The sequence below is a fragment of the Homo sapiens genome, chromosome 7, assembly GCF_000001405.40.
Source record: "Homo sapiens chromosome 7, GRCh38.p14 Primary Assembly".
NCBI classification, from domain to species: domain Eukaryota; kingdom Metazoa; phylum Chordata; class Mammalia; order Primates; family Hominidae; genus Homo; species Homo sapiens.
Genome location: NC_000007.14, coordinates 43,566,039 through 43,579,566, shown reverse-complemented (window position 1 = coordinate 43,579,566; position 13,528 = coordinate 43,566,039). Strand labels below are relative to the sequence as shown.

Genomic DNA, 13,528 nt, shown 5'->3' with positions numbered 1-13,528 from the left:
TTGTGGCAACCTTGCATCAAGCAAGTCTACCAGTGCCATTTTTCCAACAGTATGTGCTGTCTTCATTTCTTTCTGTCACATTTTGGTAATTCTCACTATGTTTCAAACTTTATTATTACTATTATATCTGTTATGGTGGACCGTGATCTTTGATCTTTGATGTTATTATTGTAATTGCTTTTGGGTACCATGAATTGCACTCATGCAAAGTTAATTGATAAATGTGTGTGATCTAACTGCTCCACCAATCAGCCCCCCATTTCTCTTCCTCTCCTCAGGCCTCCCTATTCTCTGAAACACAACAATATTGAAATAGACCAATTAAAAACCCTAAAACAGCCTCTAAGTGTTCAAGTGAAAGGAAGATTCCCATGTCTTTTACTTGAAATAAAAGCTCAAAATGGTTAAGCTTAGTGAGGAAGGCATGTAGAAAGCCAAGATGGGCTGAAAGCTAGGCCTCTTGAGCCAGTTAGCCAAATTGTGAATACAAAGGAAAAGTTCTGGAAGGGAATTAAAAATACTACCCCAGTGAACATATTAAAAATACTACCCCAGTGAACATAGGAATGATAAAAATAGTGAAACAGCCTTCTTGCTGATATGGAGAAAGTTTGAGTGGTCTGGATAGAAGATCAAACCAGCCACAAGATTCCCTTAAGCCAAAGCCTAATCCAGAGCAAGGCTTTACCTCTCTTCAATTCTCTGAAGGCTGAGAGAGGTTAGGCAGCTGCCAAAGAAAAGTTTGAAGTTAGCAGAGGTTGATTCATGAGATTTAAGGAAAGAGACTATCTGCATAACATAAAAGTTCAAGGTGAAGTAGTAAGTGCTGATGTAGAAGCTGCAGGAATTTATTTAGAAGATCTAGCTCAAGTAATTGATGAAGAGAGCTATATGAAACAACAGGTTTTCAGTGTAGATTAAATGACTTTCTATTGGAAGAAGATGTCATCTAAGACTCAGAGTTAGAGAGTAAAAGTCCAGGCTTGGCTTCAAAGCTTCAAAGGACAGGCTGACTCCCTTGTTAGGGGCTAATGCAGCTCATGACTCTAAGGTGAAGCCGATGCTCTTTGACCACTCTAAAAATTCTAGGGCCTTTAAGAATTATGCCAAATCTACTCTGCCTATGCTCTAGAAATCGAAAAACAAAGGCTGGATGACAGCACATGTATTTACAACATAGTCTACTGAACATTTTAAGCCCAGTCTGGAGACCTAGTGCTCAGAAAAAAAAAATAGATTCCTTTCAAAATATTACTGCTCATTGACAATGTACCAACAACCCAAGAGCTCTGATGGAAATGTGCAAGGAGATGAATATTGTTTTCATGCCTGCTAACACAACATCCATTCTGCTGTCCATGGAACAAGGAGTAATTTTGACTTCCAAGTCTTGTTACTTCAGAAATATATTTTGTAAGGCTGTAGCTGCCATAGATAGTGAATCTTCTGATGGATCTGGGCAAAGTCAATTGAAAATCTTCTGACCATTTTAGATGTCATTAAGAGAATTCATGGTTCATGGGAGGAGTTAAAAATATCAACATTAACAGGAATTTGAGGAAGTTGATTCCAATCCTCATGGATGACTTTGAGGGGCTCAAGACATCAGTGGAAGATGCTTGTTATAGATGAGCAAAGAAAGTGGTTTCCTGAGATGGAATCTACTCCTGTTGAAGATGCCGTAAACACTGTTGAAATGACAACAAACGATTTAGAATATTACATAAACTTAGTTGATAAAATGGTGGCAATTTTGATTCCAATTTTGAAGGAAGTCCTACTGATAGAGGCAAGAGGCAGACAAAGGCCTAGGCAGATAGGGAAGGGTCCCCGGAGAATCTCCAACTCGCCCCACAAGTGTTTACATCAGATGTTTTGTGCAGATAAGGGAACCTGCACAGGGGACTTGCCTGAGCATGCCCGCAGTGAACTGGAGGCCCACAAGCACTGGGGGAATGGGGTGGAGCCACCAGGAATTCGTGTCTTATGCAGGGGAGGAGCCTGGCTAAGGAGCCTAGATAAGGAGCAAAAAAATCCTGCATCACTACTGTGTGGGTAAAATGCTATCAAACAGCATTGCATGCTACAGAGGAATCTTTTGTGAAAGAAAGGGTCAATCAATGTGGCAAACATCATCTTTGTCTTATATTAAGAAATTGCTACAGCCACCCTAACCTTCAGCTACCACCACCTTGATCAGTCAGTTGCCATCAGCATGGAGGCAAGACCCCTCACCAGCAAAAAAATTACAACTTACTGAAGGCTGAGATGATCAATAGCACTTTTTAGCAATATAGTATTTTAAAATTAATGTATGTTGTTTCGCATATACATTCATTTAAAATGTACAATGTATGTACATTGTTTTTCTAGACATAATGCTATTGCTCACTTAATAGACCATAGAATAGTGTAGACATAACTTATATATGCACTGGGAAACCAAAAAATTTGTGTGACTTGCTTTATTATGATATTATTACTGCAGTAGTCTGGAACTGAATCTGCAATATCTCTGGGTTATGTATGCCTATTGTGCCTAATAGAAAATTGGTTGTACCTATAAAAATATTAGACAAAGTAGATGTTAAGGCAAGAAGTATTATAAGAGATAAAATGCATTAGTGAAAAAAGAATCAATTCAATGCTATCTTTAAAAGATAGTATTGAAATATACGAAGCAAAATGACAGAACTAAAAGGAGAAATACACAAATCTACCATCACAACCTGAGATTTTTAACACATTCCTCTCTGTAACTGATAGAACAAGCAGGGAAAAAAATAGAAAGGACATAGAAGCATTGAACAACACAATGAACAAAATTGACATGATACACATACAACACTACAGAATATATATTATTTTGCTGCAAAAAGAATATTTATTGATTATGTAGTGGGTCGTAAAGCACTTTTCAACAATTTTAAAGGACTGAAATTCTATAGAGTATGCCCTATCATCATAGTGGAATTAAGGAAGAAACCAAATGTCATCTATTATTTTGATATAAAACAACCACAACCAAAAGCCACAATCACAAATAAGTGGAAATTGGCCAATTTACTTCTCATCTATGTTGACAGAAAATGCTGGGAAAAAACATTGCATAATATTCAATACCCACTCATGACTGATTAAAATAGAAGGGAATTTCCTAAACTTAAGAAGATACATCTCTAAAAAACCTACAGAAGTATTATCGTTGAAGTCAGAGGCACAGCAAAGTTACGTGCTATCACGACTCTTATTCAGTGTTGCAGTTGAGAACCTAAATAGTGCAGTAAGACACTCTGGCATTAATATTGGAAAGGAAGAATTTAAATGGTCATGAAGGAATAGTCACAATTGTTAAATGTAGAGAATTCTATATTCTACTTCTAGAATATCCAAAAGAATAAACTGGACCGGGCTCATGCCTGTAATCCTAACACTTTGGGAGACCGAGGTGGGAAGATCGCTTGAGCTTAGGAGTTTGAAACCAGCCTGGGCAACATAGTGAAACCTTGTTTCTATTAATGCTATTTTAAAATGTAATAAAAAAGGGCTGGGTGTGATGGCTCATGCCTGTAATCCCACCACTTTGGGAGGGAGGCCGAGGTGGGTGGATTGCTTGAGGTCAGGAGTTCAAGACCAGCCTGATCAACATGGTGAAACCCCGTCTCTACTAAAAATACAAAAATTAGCCGGGCATGGTGGCGGGCATCTGTAATTCCAGCTACTCGGGAGGCTGAGGCATAAGAATCGCTTAAACCCGGGAGGTGTAGGTTGCAGTGAGCCAGGATAGTGCCACTGCACTCCAGCCTGGGTGACAGCATGAGACCCCATCTCAAAAAAGAAAATTTTAAAATAAAAGAAAATAAATAAATAAGTAAAATGTAATAAAAAAGAATCAACTGAAAAATATTAAAATTAATATATTTTAAAAGACAATTAGGTTTAATAAAAATAAATCAATAGCATTCCTACATAATAACAATGAGATATGAAAGCTAATGGGGAACTATTCCATTTGAATAAAATGAAAATAAAGCATGCAGAAACGACCCTCACAAAAATGCACAAAGCTTATATTTTATTTTAAAGAATGTATCTATTCTAAGAGACATAAACAAATGCTTCAATAGAGATACATAGATGAAAAGATTAGATTCTGTAATTCTTTGGAAATAAATCAGTATCTTTAACAAAATTCTAATAAGTCTCAAAAATATGTCTTTTGGAATGTGTTAAAATTATCTCAGAGTTCATCATGAAGAATATCCAAATGAGTGTAGCTAGAAAATTTTTGCAAAAGAAAGTCGTAAGGAGAGAACTGTCCTAACATATTAAAATACAGTATGAAATAAGATAGCTCAACATAGCAGAATAGTTTTGAAATAGAGTTATAATATTTAAGAAACCACAATAAGCCCCAAATCTTCTAAATCATTAAATGTAAAACAAACAAACAAAAACTACAAAATCTAGAAAGAAATGACACATAACAATTAGCTGACTTTTTCTTTTTTTGTTGTTTTTTTGACACGGGGTCTCACTGTTGCCCAGACTGGAGTGGAGTGGTGCCAGCTCGGCTCACTGCAACCTCTGCCTCCTGGATTGAAGCGATTCTCTTGCCTCGGCCTCCCGAGTAGCTGGGATTACAGGCATGTGCCACCATGCTTGGCTAATTTTTGTATTTTTAGTAGAGACAGGTTTTTGCCATGTTGGCTAGGTTGGTCTTGAACTCCTGGCCTCAAATGATCCATCCTCCTTGGCCTCCCAAAGTGCTGGAATTACAGGCATTAGTCACTTTGCCTGGCCTTGACAATTAGCTGATTTCTGAAAGAAAAAGTAACTTCTAAGAAATAAAGCAGTGGAAAAAAACTCCAAGAAAAATATTTGACTACCTAATAATTCAAAAATCATTGCATATCAAAAAATGTTATATGCAAAGTTAGAAGGCAAACAAGCTGGAAATACATTAGCAAAAAGCATTATAGATAAAAATCATACCCTAAATGAAGAACATATAATAAGAGGTGTGCCAACACTATATTAGAAAGAGGTCAAAGAAAATAAAAGATTTTTTTATAGTGAAATGTTCAAATTTAATTTATATTTCCTGGAGAAATATAAATGGGGTTTCATTTTTGCCAATAAAATTGGCAAAGATTTTTAGGGTAATTCAATGCCCATTGTTAGTGATAATGGGGAGAAAGACTGGAAAGATAAAAACCCAAGTGCTTTTTGTTTCCTTGTGTTGTTCTGATCTGTGTTTTTCTGTATAGAGCGCTATACCTGATTTTATCAGATATTCTTACCTGGCCCACCTGTTTTAATATCAACCTGAGTTTATCTTTATCAAATTGCATTATAAGTGTATACTTTCTTTCTTCCTAGTTAGATCAGAAGGGACCATTTATTCTATATCCTCAGTGTGTATAAGTGACACTTTGTAAATATTGATGAATAGATGTGGTTGAATTGAGTATGCAATGCTCTTACTATCCGAGTAAGATAATGGTTAAATGAATTTTGATATATTTACCTGATAGGTTATTATGCAATACTTTTTTTTTTTTGAGATGGAGTTTCTCTTTTGTTGCCCAGGCTGGAGTGCAATAGTGTGATCTCAGCTCACTGCAACCTCCGCCTCCTGGGTTCAAGCTATGCTCCTTCCTCAGCCTCCCAAGTAGCTGGGATTACAAGCATGCACCACCATGCCCAGCTAATTTTGTATTTTTAGTAGAGATGGGGCTTCCCCATGTTGGTCAGGCTGGTCTCGAACTCCCCACCTCAGGTGATCCGCCTTCCTTGGCCTCCCAAAGTTCTGGGATTACAGGCGTGAGCCACCGTGCCTGGCACTTACATATCAACCTTTTGAAAAAGATTTTTAGGGTAGAAAATCAGTTTTCTTAGGTCAATCTGACAGAAGTTTAATCTAAAAAAAATCAACTGGGCAATATTTTTAAACATACAATTATAATAAAAGTATACTTTGTAAATATATATATATATGAAAAAGATAGATTCACTTATTTTTAGAAGCTAGGTCTTTCAAGTGCTGTAAGCTGCCAACATTCTCATTCGTGTTAAATACTTACAGGCTTCAAGGGACTTGTTTTAGCAAACAAACAAACAAAAAAGTAGGCCGAGCATGGTAGCTCATGCTTGTAATCCCAACACTTTGGGAGGCTGAGGTGGGCAGATGGCTTGAGCTCAGGAGTTCGAGACCGGCCTGGTCAACATGGTGAAATCCTGTCTCTACTACAACTACAAAATAATTAGCTGGGCGTGGTGGTGGGCGTCTGTAATCCCAGCTACTCGGGAGGCTGAGGCAGGAGAATTGCTCTAACCCAGGAGGCGGAGGTTGCAGTGAGTGGAGATCACACCACTGCACTCCAGCTTGGGCGACAGAGTAAGACTCTGTCTCAAAAAAAAAAAAAAAGTAAAAAGAAACTGTTCTTCTCAAACCTGCCTTTTCATGGTTTATAATCTTTCATCCCTGATTCATATATTTGAATCTTTCTTCATCGACTTGGACATTTAAAAGTAGTTATGTTGTGGCTTTTTTAGAATGCAGTACTATTTCAAGTTCCATTGGCTCATTCCATCTGTGGATTTTCTTTCCTAGTAATGGAGTTCCTTATATATTTTATACTTTTTTGATGATGAGCTCCTATTTTAACTGTAACTTTGTATTTTTAAATGTTTCAAATAGGGTCTGAGTTGGGAAAGAATCTCTATGATGTGGTTTCTAAATGGCCTCTGCCCTGACTACAGAGCTTGTTGATTGGGAGACAAATTTCTGGCTTAATTTCTCAATGGAGCTTGGGGGTTCTGAAGCATTTGGATGACGTGAATTTGTGTTCTGCACTGTCATGAGCCATGAGTCAGGATTCAGGATCTGTGGTTCACACCACTTCCTCCATCAAACAACTTATTGCCTGCTCTGTGCCAGCAGAGGAGGTTTTTACAACCCAGTCATGAAGAAGTCAGCACTTTCCCAATTTCAGGTTCAATGCCAAGAGTTCATTTTCAGTTCCTTGCTCTATAAGAAGACTGAGGGCTCAAGTCCTGACCCAGAAGAAAACCCATGTCCTTAAAGTGTTTAACCAATTCTTACTAACCACTGTAGCTGTAGGTTTCTTTTTATTGCTAGCTTCTTAGCTTCACTGTATATTACATTAAAAACAATATATATATATATTTTTTTTTTTTTTTTGAGATGGAGTCTTGCTGTCACCCAGGCTGCAGTGCAGTGGCACAATCTCAGCTCGCTGCAGCCTCTGCCTCCTGGGTTCCAGTGATTCTCCTGCCTCAGTCTCCTGGGTAGCTGGGATTACAGGCACACACCACCATGCCTGGCTAATTTTTGCATTTTTAGTAGAGACGGGGTTTCGCCATGTTGGCCAGGCTGGTCTCGAACTCCTGACCTCAGGCAATCCGCCCGCCTTGGCCTCCCAAAGTGCTGGGATTACAGGCGTGAGCCACCACGCCCGGCTTTTTTTTTTTTTTTTCTTTTTTTGAGACAGAGTCTCGCACTGTCGCCCAGGCTGGAGTGCAATGGCGCAATCTTGGCTCACTGCAACCTCCACCTACTGGGTTCATGTGATTCTCCTGCTTCAGTAATTAAGTAGCTTGGATTACAGGCACATACCACCACACCTGGCTAATTTTTTGTATTTTTAGTAGAGTCGGGGTTTCACTATGCTGGCCAGACTGATCTGGAACTCCTGACCTCATGATCAGCCCGCCTCAGGATCCCAAAGTGCAGGGATTACAGGCGTGGGCCACCATCTTTTTACATTTCGAGCATGAGGGTGGTGGTTGTTTTCAAGTCAGCTTAGTGCTCCATCTTAATTGGAAGTCTGCTATTGTTTGCTTGTTTTTTTGTTTTGGTTTATTTTTCAGTCAATTCAGCTGTCTTTTTATGTATTTTGCTTCTATTTCTCAGGGGTCATGTCTTCTGGCTAGCTATTCAGAATGCCAATTAGAAAATACATATTTTTTTTGAGCCAGAGTCTTGCTCTGTTGCCCAGGCTGGAGTGCAGTGGCATGATCATAGCTCACTGCAGCTTTGAACTCCCAGGCTCAAGGGATCCTCCCACCTCAGTCTCCTGAGTAGCTGGGACTATAGATGTGTACCACTGCATCTGGCTAATTAATTATTATTTTTTTTTTTTAGGAGAGATATGGTCTTGCTATGTTGCCCAGGCTGGTCTTGAACTCCTGGCCTCAAGCAGTCCTCTTGCCTTGGCCTCCCAAAGTGCTAGGACCACAGGCATGAGCCGCTGCACCTGGCCCAATTAGAAATTTTTTAATAATTTCAATTGTTGCCAGTAGTGAGTCATCTTCAGGGATGAACTCTTCCTTTGAGTCTTCAGGGTGCTGTTTCTTTTTCTTGTTCTGTGATGTTTGTCATAGTTTCCAGAATTATTTGTCCTTCAGTGAGTAAATTAGACCTAGCTTTTGCTAAGGAACTGTGTGTCTGTGTGTGTGTGTGTGTGTGTGTGTGTGTGTTTTGGTTCAACCCTCTGTTCATTTGGACACCTGGACTCCTACATCTGGACAGCAGGTAGGTGAGCACAGACCAACTGGAGAATCTGGTAAGTATTCATCTAAGTGAAGCTCAGTGGAACTGAGGAAGTATTGCCTTCTACCTTTACTGCTTGCTCTTCTGAAAAACTATGAAAACTACAAGCCACCGCAGGCTTGACCAGAAATGCTTCAGTTTCAAAGGCATTTGCATTTGCTGTCGCCTTTGACCAAGCCACTCTTCCTCCAGAGAGTGTCAACGCTCATTCTCTCATCTCTTAAGATTTTGCCCAAACATCATCTTTTGTCAGCACCTTCCCTAAAAATTCTTTTTATATTTCTAATCCCTTCTATTTCAACCCTCTTCATTTCCTTTCTCTTCCTTTCCTCTCCTTTTTCCCCGTCACACTTACCACCTCTCAACATACTCTATTATGTACTTACTTATTCTTTGTTTTGTTTACTGATGCAACACCAGTGCCTAAAACAATGCCCAGCACAGTGCTGATGTTCAATAAACATTTATTGATAAATTGAATAAATAAGTGCTTTGCCACTAGGGTTCTTCTTTCTCCTACCCTCCCCTACAGAATTTGTGTATGGGGGCTTCATCTTTTGGAATATGCGATACAGGATAATTTTCCTTTAGTTCCTGCTGTCTACATAGGAGTTCTAATCCAGGATAAACATAGAGTGTTACTGATGATGGGGTGGAAAGAGTATCTAAGAACAGTTTAGTGTCTGACCTGAATGAACGAAGTCACCTCCAGATCCACCAGTAAGATGCAATTTTGAACCATAACTTGGCCTTTGATATTTTAAAACTCTTGATACATATCATCAAATTATATTCAGAAAAGTTATGCCAACATGCCAATTTCTCTTTTCTCTGCAGTCTCATTATTAATTAATTAATTAATTATTATTTTTTTGAGACAAGGTCTCACTATGTTGACTAGGCTGGTCTCAAGCTCCGAGCCTCAAGCAGTCCTCCTGCCTTAGCCTCCTGAGTAGTTGGGATTTGTGAGCCACCAGACTTGGCCATTGTCAATTGAAACTAAAGAGTAGCTACCATGCATAGTGAATGCTCTCCTAAGGGTAAACGGTCAGTGTTTCTTCTCAAAAGTTATCCTAAAAAGGAAAGAATGCTGAATGGTCTTTGAATCAATTATCTATTGCCACAAAAAAGTACAGTGATCACAAAATATCACTGGTGTTTAACCATGCACTTTTAGTGTTGATGTCTCCGGGGTCAGCTGGAGGTTGGCCGGGTGGCTCTAATGATCCTGGCTGGGTTTGCTCAAGTACCTGGTGGTCAGCTGGCTGTTGGTTGATCTAGCCTGGCTCGGTTTGGCCCCTGACATCTCTCATTCTCCTCTTATTCCAGGCCTGCTCTCATGGTGATAGCACAGCAACAAGAGAGAGAGGTCAAGCTCAGCCGTGCAAGTACTTTACATGCCTCTGCTTGTGTTATGCTGGGTGGGTGGTTCAGGGAATGACTCAGAATGACCAACCACAGATGGAGGTGACTGCAAAGTTACAGGGTAAAGGATGTGACTTCAGGGGGGCTGAAGAATTGAGGCCCTTTTATGTGATCCACCACAATCTTAGAAGAGAGTTATTTCCCGTTGTCGTTTAATTTTTCCTACTGAAAGAATAAGGTTGGAAAAAGGGAAGAAGCTCTTTTTATGAGTGAATATAAAATTCTGGACAGGATAAAAGCCAGGACCCCATTTTTATTACATTTAAAAAGTAATAGGGATTATGTAACAACTGTGTAAGAAAAACAGAAAACTCTATAGGATGTACTCTTTGGAATAAAATGGAAAGAAATACAAGTTCTTGGGCATATATAACTTGCCCAATTATTTGAACAAATTAATTCTAATCTGAATAAGTTTTAATGCTAATTCAATCAGAAGTTCCAGACATTAAAAAGAAATCTCTTTGTAGCTGTATTCTCCCAGCTTTTAAAGATATGAAGGTTCTTAGGCTGATTGAATCACCTCTGCTCATTTCTTTGTTTACTGTTTCAGAAAAAAATATTTCCCTCTTTCTGGTATAATACATTTAAATTATTTTTCCCATTTTTATACATGCTCAAATTCTGTCTCCGAGTTCATTCCTGCCCATGCTTCCTCACCAGCAGAGACAATTGCTCCTGTTGCCTTTTCCTGTAGCACGTTGCTTATTATTTTTTAATGGCGTCATATTGTACTCAGGAGCCAGGTTTGGCGAGCTGGGTTGGGGAGACTACTCACACTGGAATCGGGCCAAATCTCAACTGGAGGAGAATAATGCATTATTATATTGTTAGATCATGAGCTCCCTGAGGGCAAAGACTGCCACTGGCCCCTGTGTCTGGCACAAGACCCAACACGTAACAAGTATTCAATAAGTGGTTACTTGAATGAGGTGGTGTGTGGTTGAGTGCTTGGGCCCTGGAGCTGGCTCCTTGTTCTCAAATCTTGGCTATGTCGTTTACTAACTGTGTGTCTTTGGGCAAGTTAGTTCACTTCTTTGTACTTTTTTTCTTTTTCAGCTTAAAAGAGGGATATAAAGGTAGCTATTTCATAAGATGATACATAAAAGGCATGTCAGAATTTATGATTGTTACTATTACTGCTGGAGGCTCTTAAGGTGGCAGGAAGGAGGATGTTACAGATTGAATCATGTCCTCCAAAGAAGATATACTGGAGCTCTAACTCCACCCAGTACCTCAAATATGATTCTATTTCCTTATTTGGAGGTAAGGTCTTTACAGAACTAATCAAGTTAAAGTGAGGTCATTAGCGTTAGCCCTAATCCAATATGATGTTGTCCTCATAAAAAGGAAAAGTGTAGACACACACACACACACACACACACACACACACACACACACAGTCATACAAAGATGAAGGCAGAGATCTACAAGCCAAGGAATGCCAAATACTGCAAGAAAACCACTGGAAACTAGGAGAGCGGGGTGGAATAGATGCTTTCCCACAACCCTGAGAAGGAACCAGCCCCCGACACCTTCATAGCAAACTGCTAGCCTTCTTTAAGCCACCCAACTTGGGGTTCTTTGTTCTGGCAGCCCTAGCAAACTTGCACAGAGGGGCCGTGGGAACCAGCAGCCCACATCCTTCTTTGGTGACTGCACACTGACCTTGGATTCCTGGCATCCAGTTGTACTCTTTCAGGTTCCATCTCTTCTGCATACCTCATGCTCCTGGCACATTTTTGAATGGTTATGCCAGGTCCAGAGCCCAGGACCCCACAGGATATTTTGTGATAAGGCGGTAGCCTTCAAGGTAAAACTCAGTGGCCTTGACATCAACTATTCTGTTCTCAGATCTCCAAGGTAAACCTGTTGGACAAAAGTGTCTAAGCCTATTCCCAGCCATAAATGTGATATGTAATTCCTGCAGCACTGATAAAGGTTGGCCTGATCCTCCATAACTCCCTTCACTTATTCTGTTAGAGAGCCATCCTCTATAAACACATCTAAACCATGTCTGGAGTACAAGCTATGTGTGTCACTTTTCCCTTTACAGTATATAATTAGTGAGCTGTCAGCACATTAATTGGAAAAGTATGGCCATAGAAATCAGGAGACCTGGCCGAGTGCGGTGTCTCAACCTGTAATCCCAGCACTTTGGGAAGCCAAGGCAGGTGGATCACTCGAGGCCAGGAGTTTGAGACCAGCCTGACCAACATGGTGAAACCCCATTTCTACTAAAAATACAAAAATTAGCTGGGCATGGTGGTGCACACCTGTAATTCCAGATACTTGGGAGGCTGAGACAGGAGAATTGCTTGAAACCGGGAGGTGGAGGCTGCAGTGAGCCGAGATCACGCCATTGCACTCTGGCCTGGGCAACAACAGTGAAACTCAGTCTCAAAATAAATAAATAAATAAAAATAAAAAAGAAATCAGGAGACCTGAAGTCCAATCTTGATTTCAGAGTAAGATTAAAGCAGAATACTATAATCTATGCCTCACTATAAATGATGATCTAGTCCAGATTTTCTCTTTATGACTTAGAAGAAAAGTGATTTTCAGTTAGAATAAATCTGAAGTCAGCCCAGCACGTGTGGAAAAATGCAATATTGGCCGGGCATGGTGGCTCATGTCTGTAATTCCAGTACTTTGGGAGGCCAAGGTGGGTGGATCACCTAAGGTCGGGAGTTCGAGACTAGCCTGACCAACATAGAGAAAACCTGTCTCTACTAAAAATACAAAATTAGCCGAGCGTGGTGGCGCATGCCTGTAATCCCAGCTACTCAGGAGGCTGAGGCAGGAGAATTGCTTGAACCCGGGAGGCAGAGGTTGCAGTGAGCCAAGATTGCACCATTGCACTCCAGCCTGGCCAACAAGAGCAAAGCTCTGTCTCAAAATAATAATAATAATAATAATAATAATAATAATAATAATAATAATAATAAAAGAAAAATGCCATATCAAGATGACTCTCTGTCTCCAAATCAGTCCGTCAGGTTTTTCCTTCTCCCAGTCCTCCCCACACTTTTTTCTAATAATAGAATATTTTCTCTTTAAAGAATAAATCAGCTTCCAACCACCCAGTAAGAGCCACATGGTTTGTCTTTTAGAGGCTTGGAAGGAGATCATGCTGTTTCCATCTTGGGAGTTTGTGATACGAGCCATAGGACACAATATGTTTGCCTAGTGGTGACCGTTGTCCTGGGATGACACTGGGTGTTAGGCAGTAGCCTGAAGCTTTCATAGAAGCATCTCCATAGCTAGGAATTTATATAAACCAGTGCACAACTGGTTTACATAAAGGGCACTAAAAAAAATGCTGCCCGTGTGGTTTGTGTAGGGTTCTTACAGCCATACACAAGGAACTTGTTACAAAAGCTCTCCTCTCTATTCATGGATATGTGAGCACATATTATGCTTTTTTGGGACTTTAAAAAAATCAGAGCAGCTGGTAACCTTCTGTGTTGTTTTATTGCTTACATCCAGCGAGAGAGTAAGGCAGGATACAGATTGTTATGTGTT

The 13,528-nt window shown here is 39.9% G+C and overlaps 3 annotated features.

Moving 5' to 3' along the window:
- Positions 1,239-2,438: an enhancer, noted in NCBI's record as "MED14-independent group 3 enhancer chr7:43616728-43617927 (GRCh37/hg19 assembly coordinates)". NCBI's record gives its function as "activates an origin of replication core promoter dependent on BRD2, BRD4, P300/CBP and CDK7 cofactors, and independent of MED14, by STARR-seq in HCT116 cells {active_cell/tissue: HCT116}" and the evidence as "EXISTENCE:reporter gene assay evidence [ECO:0000049][PMID:35650434]".
- Positions 1,606-2,107: an enhancer, noted in NCBI's record as "H3K27ac hESC enhancer chr7:43617059-43617560 (GRCh37/hg19 assembly coordinates)". NCBI's record gives its function as "activates a minimal SCP1, AML or CMV promoter by ChIP-STARR-seq in naive H9 embryonic stem cells {active_cell/tissue: H9 hESC(naive)}" and the evidence as "EXISTENCE:reporter gene assay evidence [ECO:0000049][PMID:30033119]".
- Positions 6,938-7,017: a silencer, noted in NCBI's record as "silent region_18123". NCBI's record gives its function as "represses an Ori minimal core promoter by ATAC-STARR-seq in GM12878 lymphoblastoid cells {active_cell/tissue: GM12878}" and the evidence as "EXISTENCE:reporter gene assay evidence [ECO:0000049][PMID:35858748]".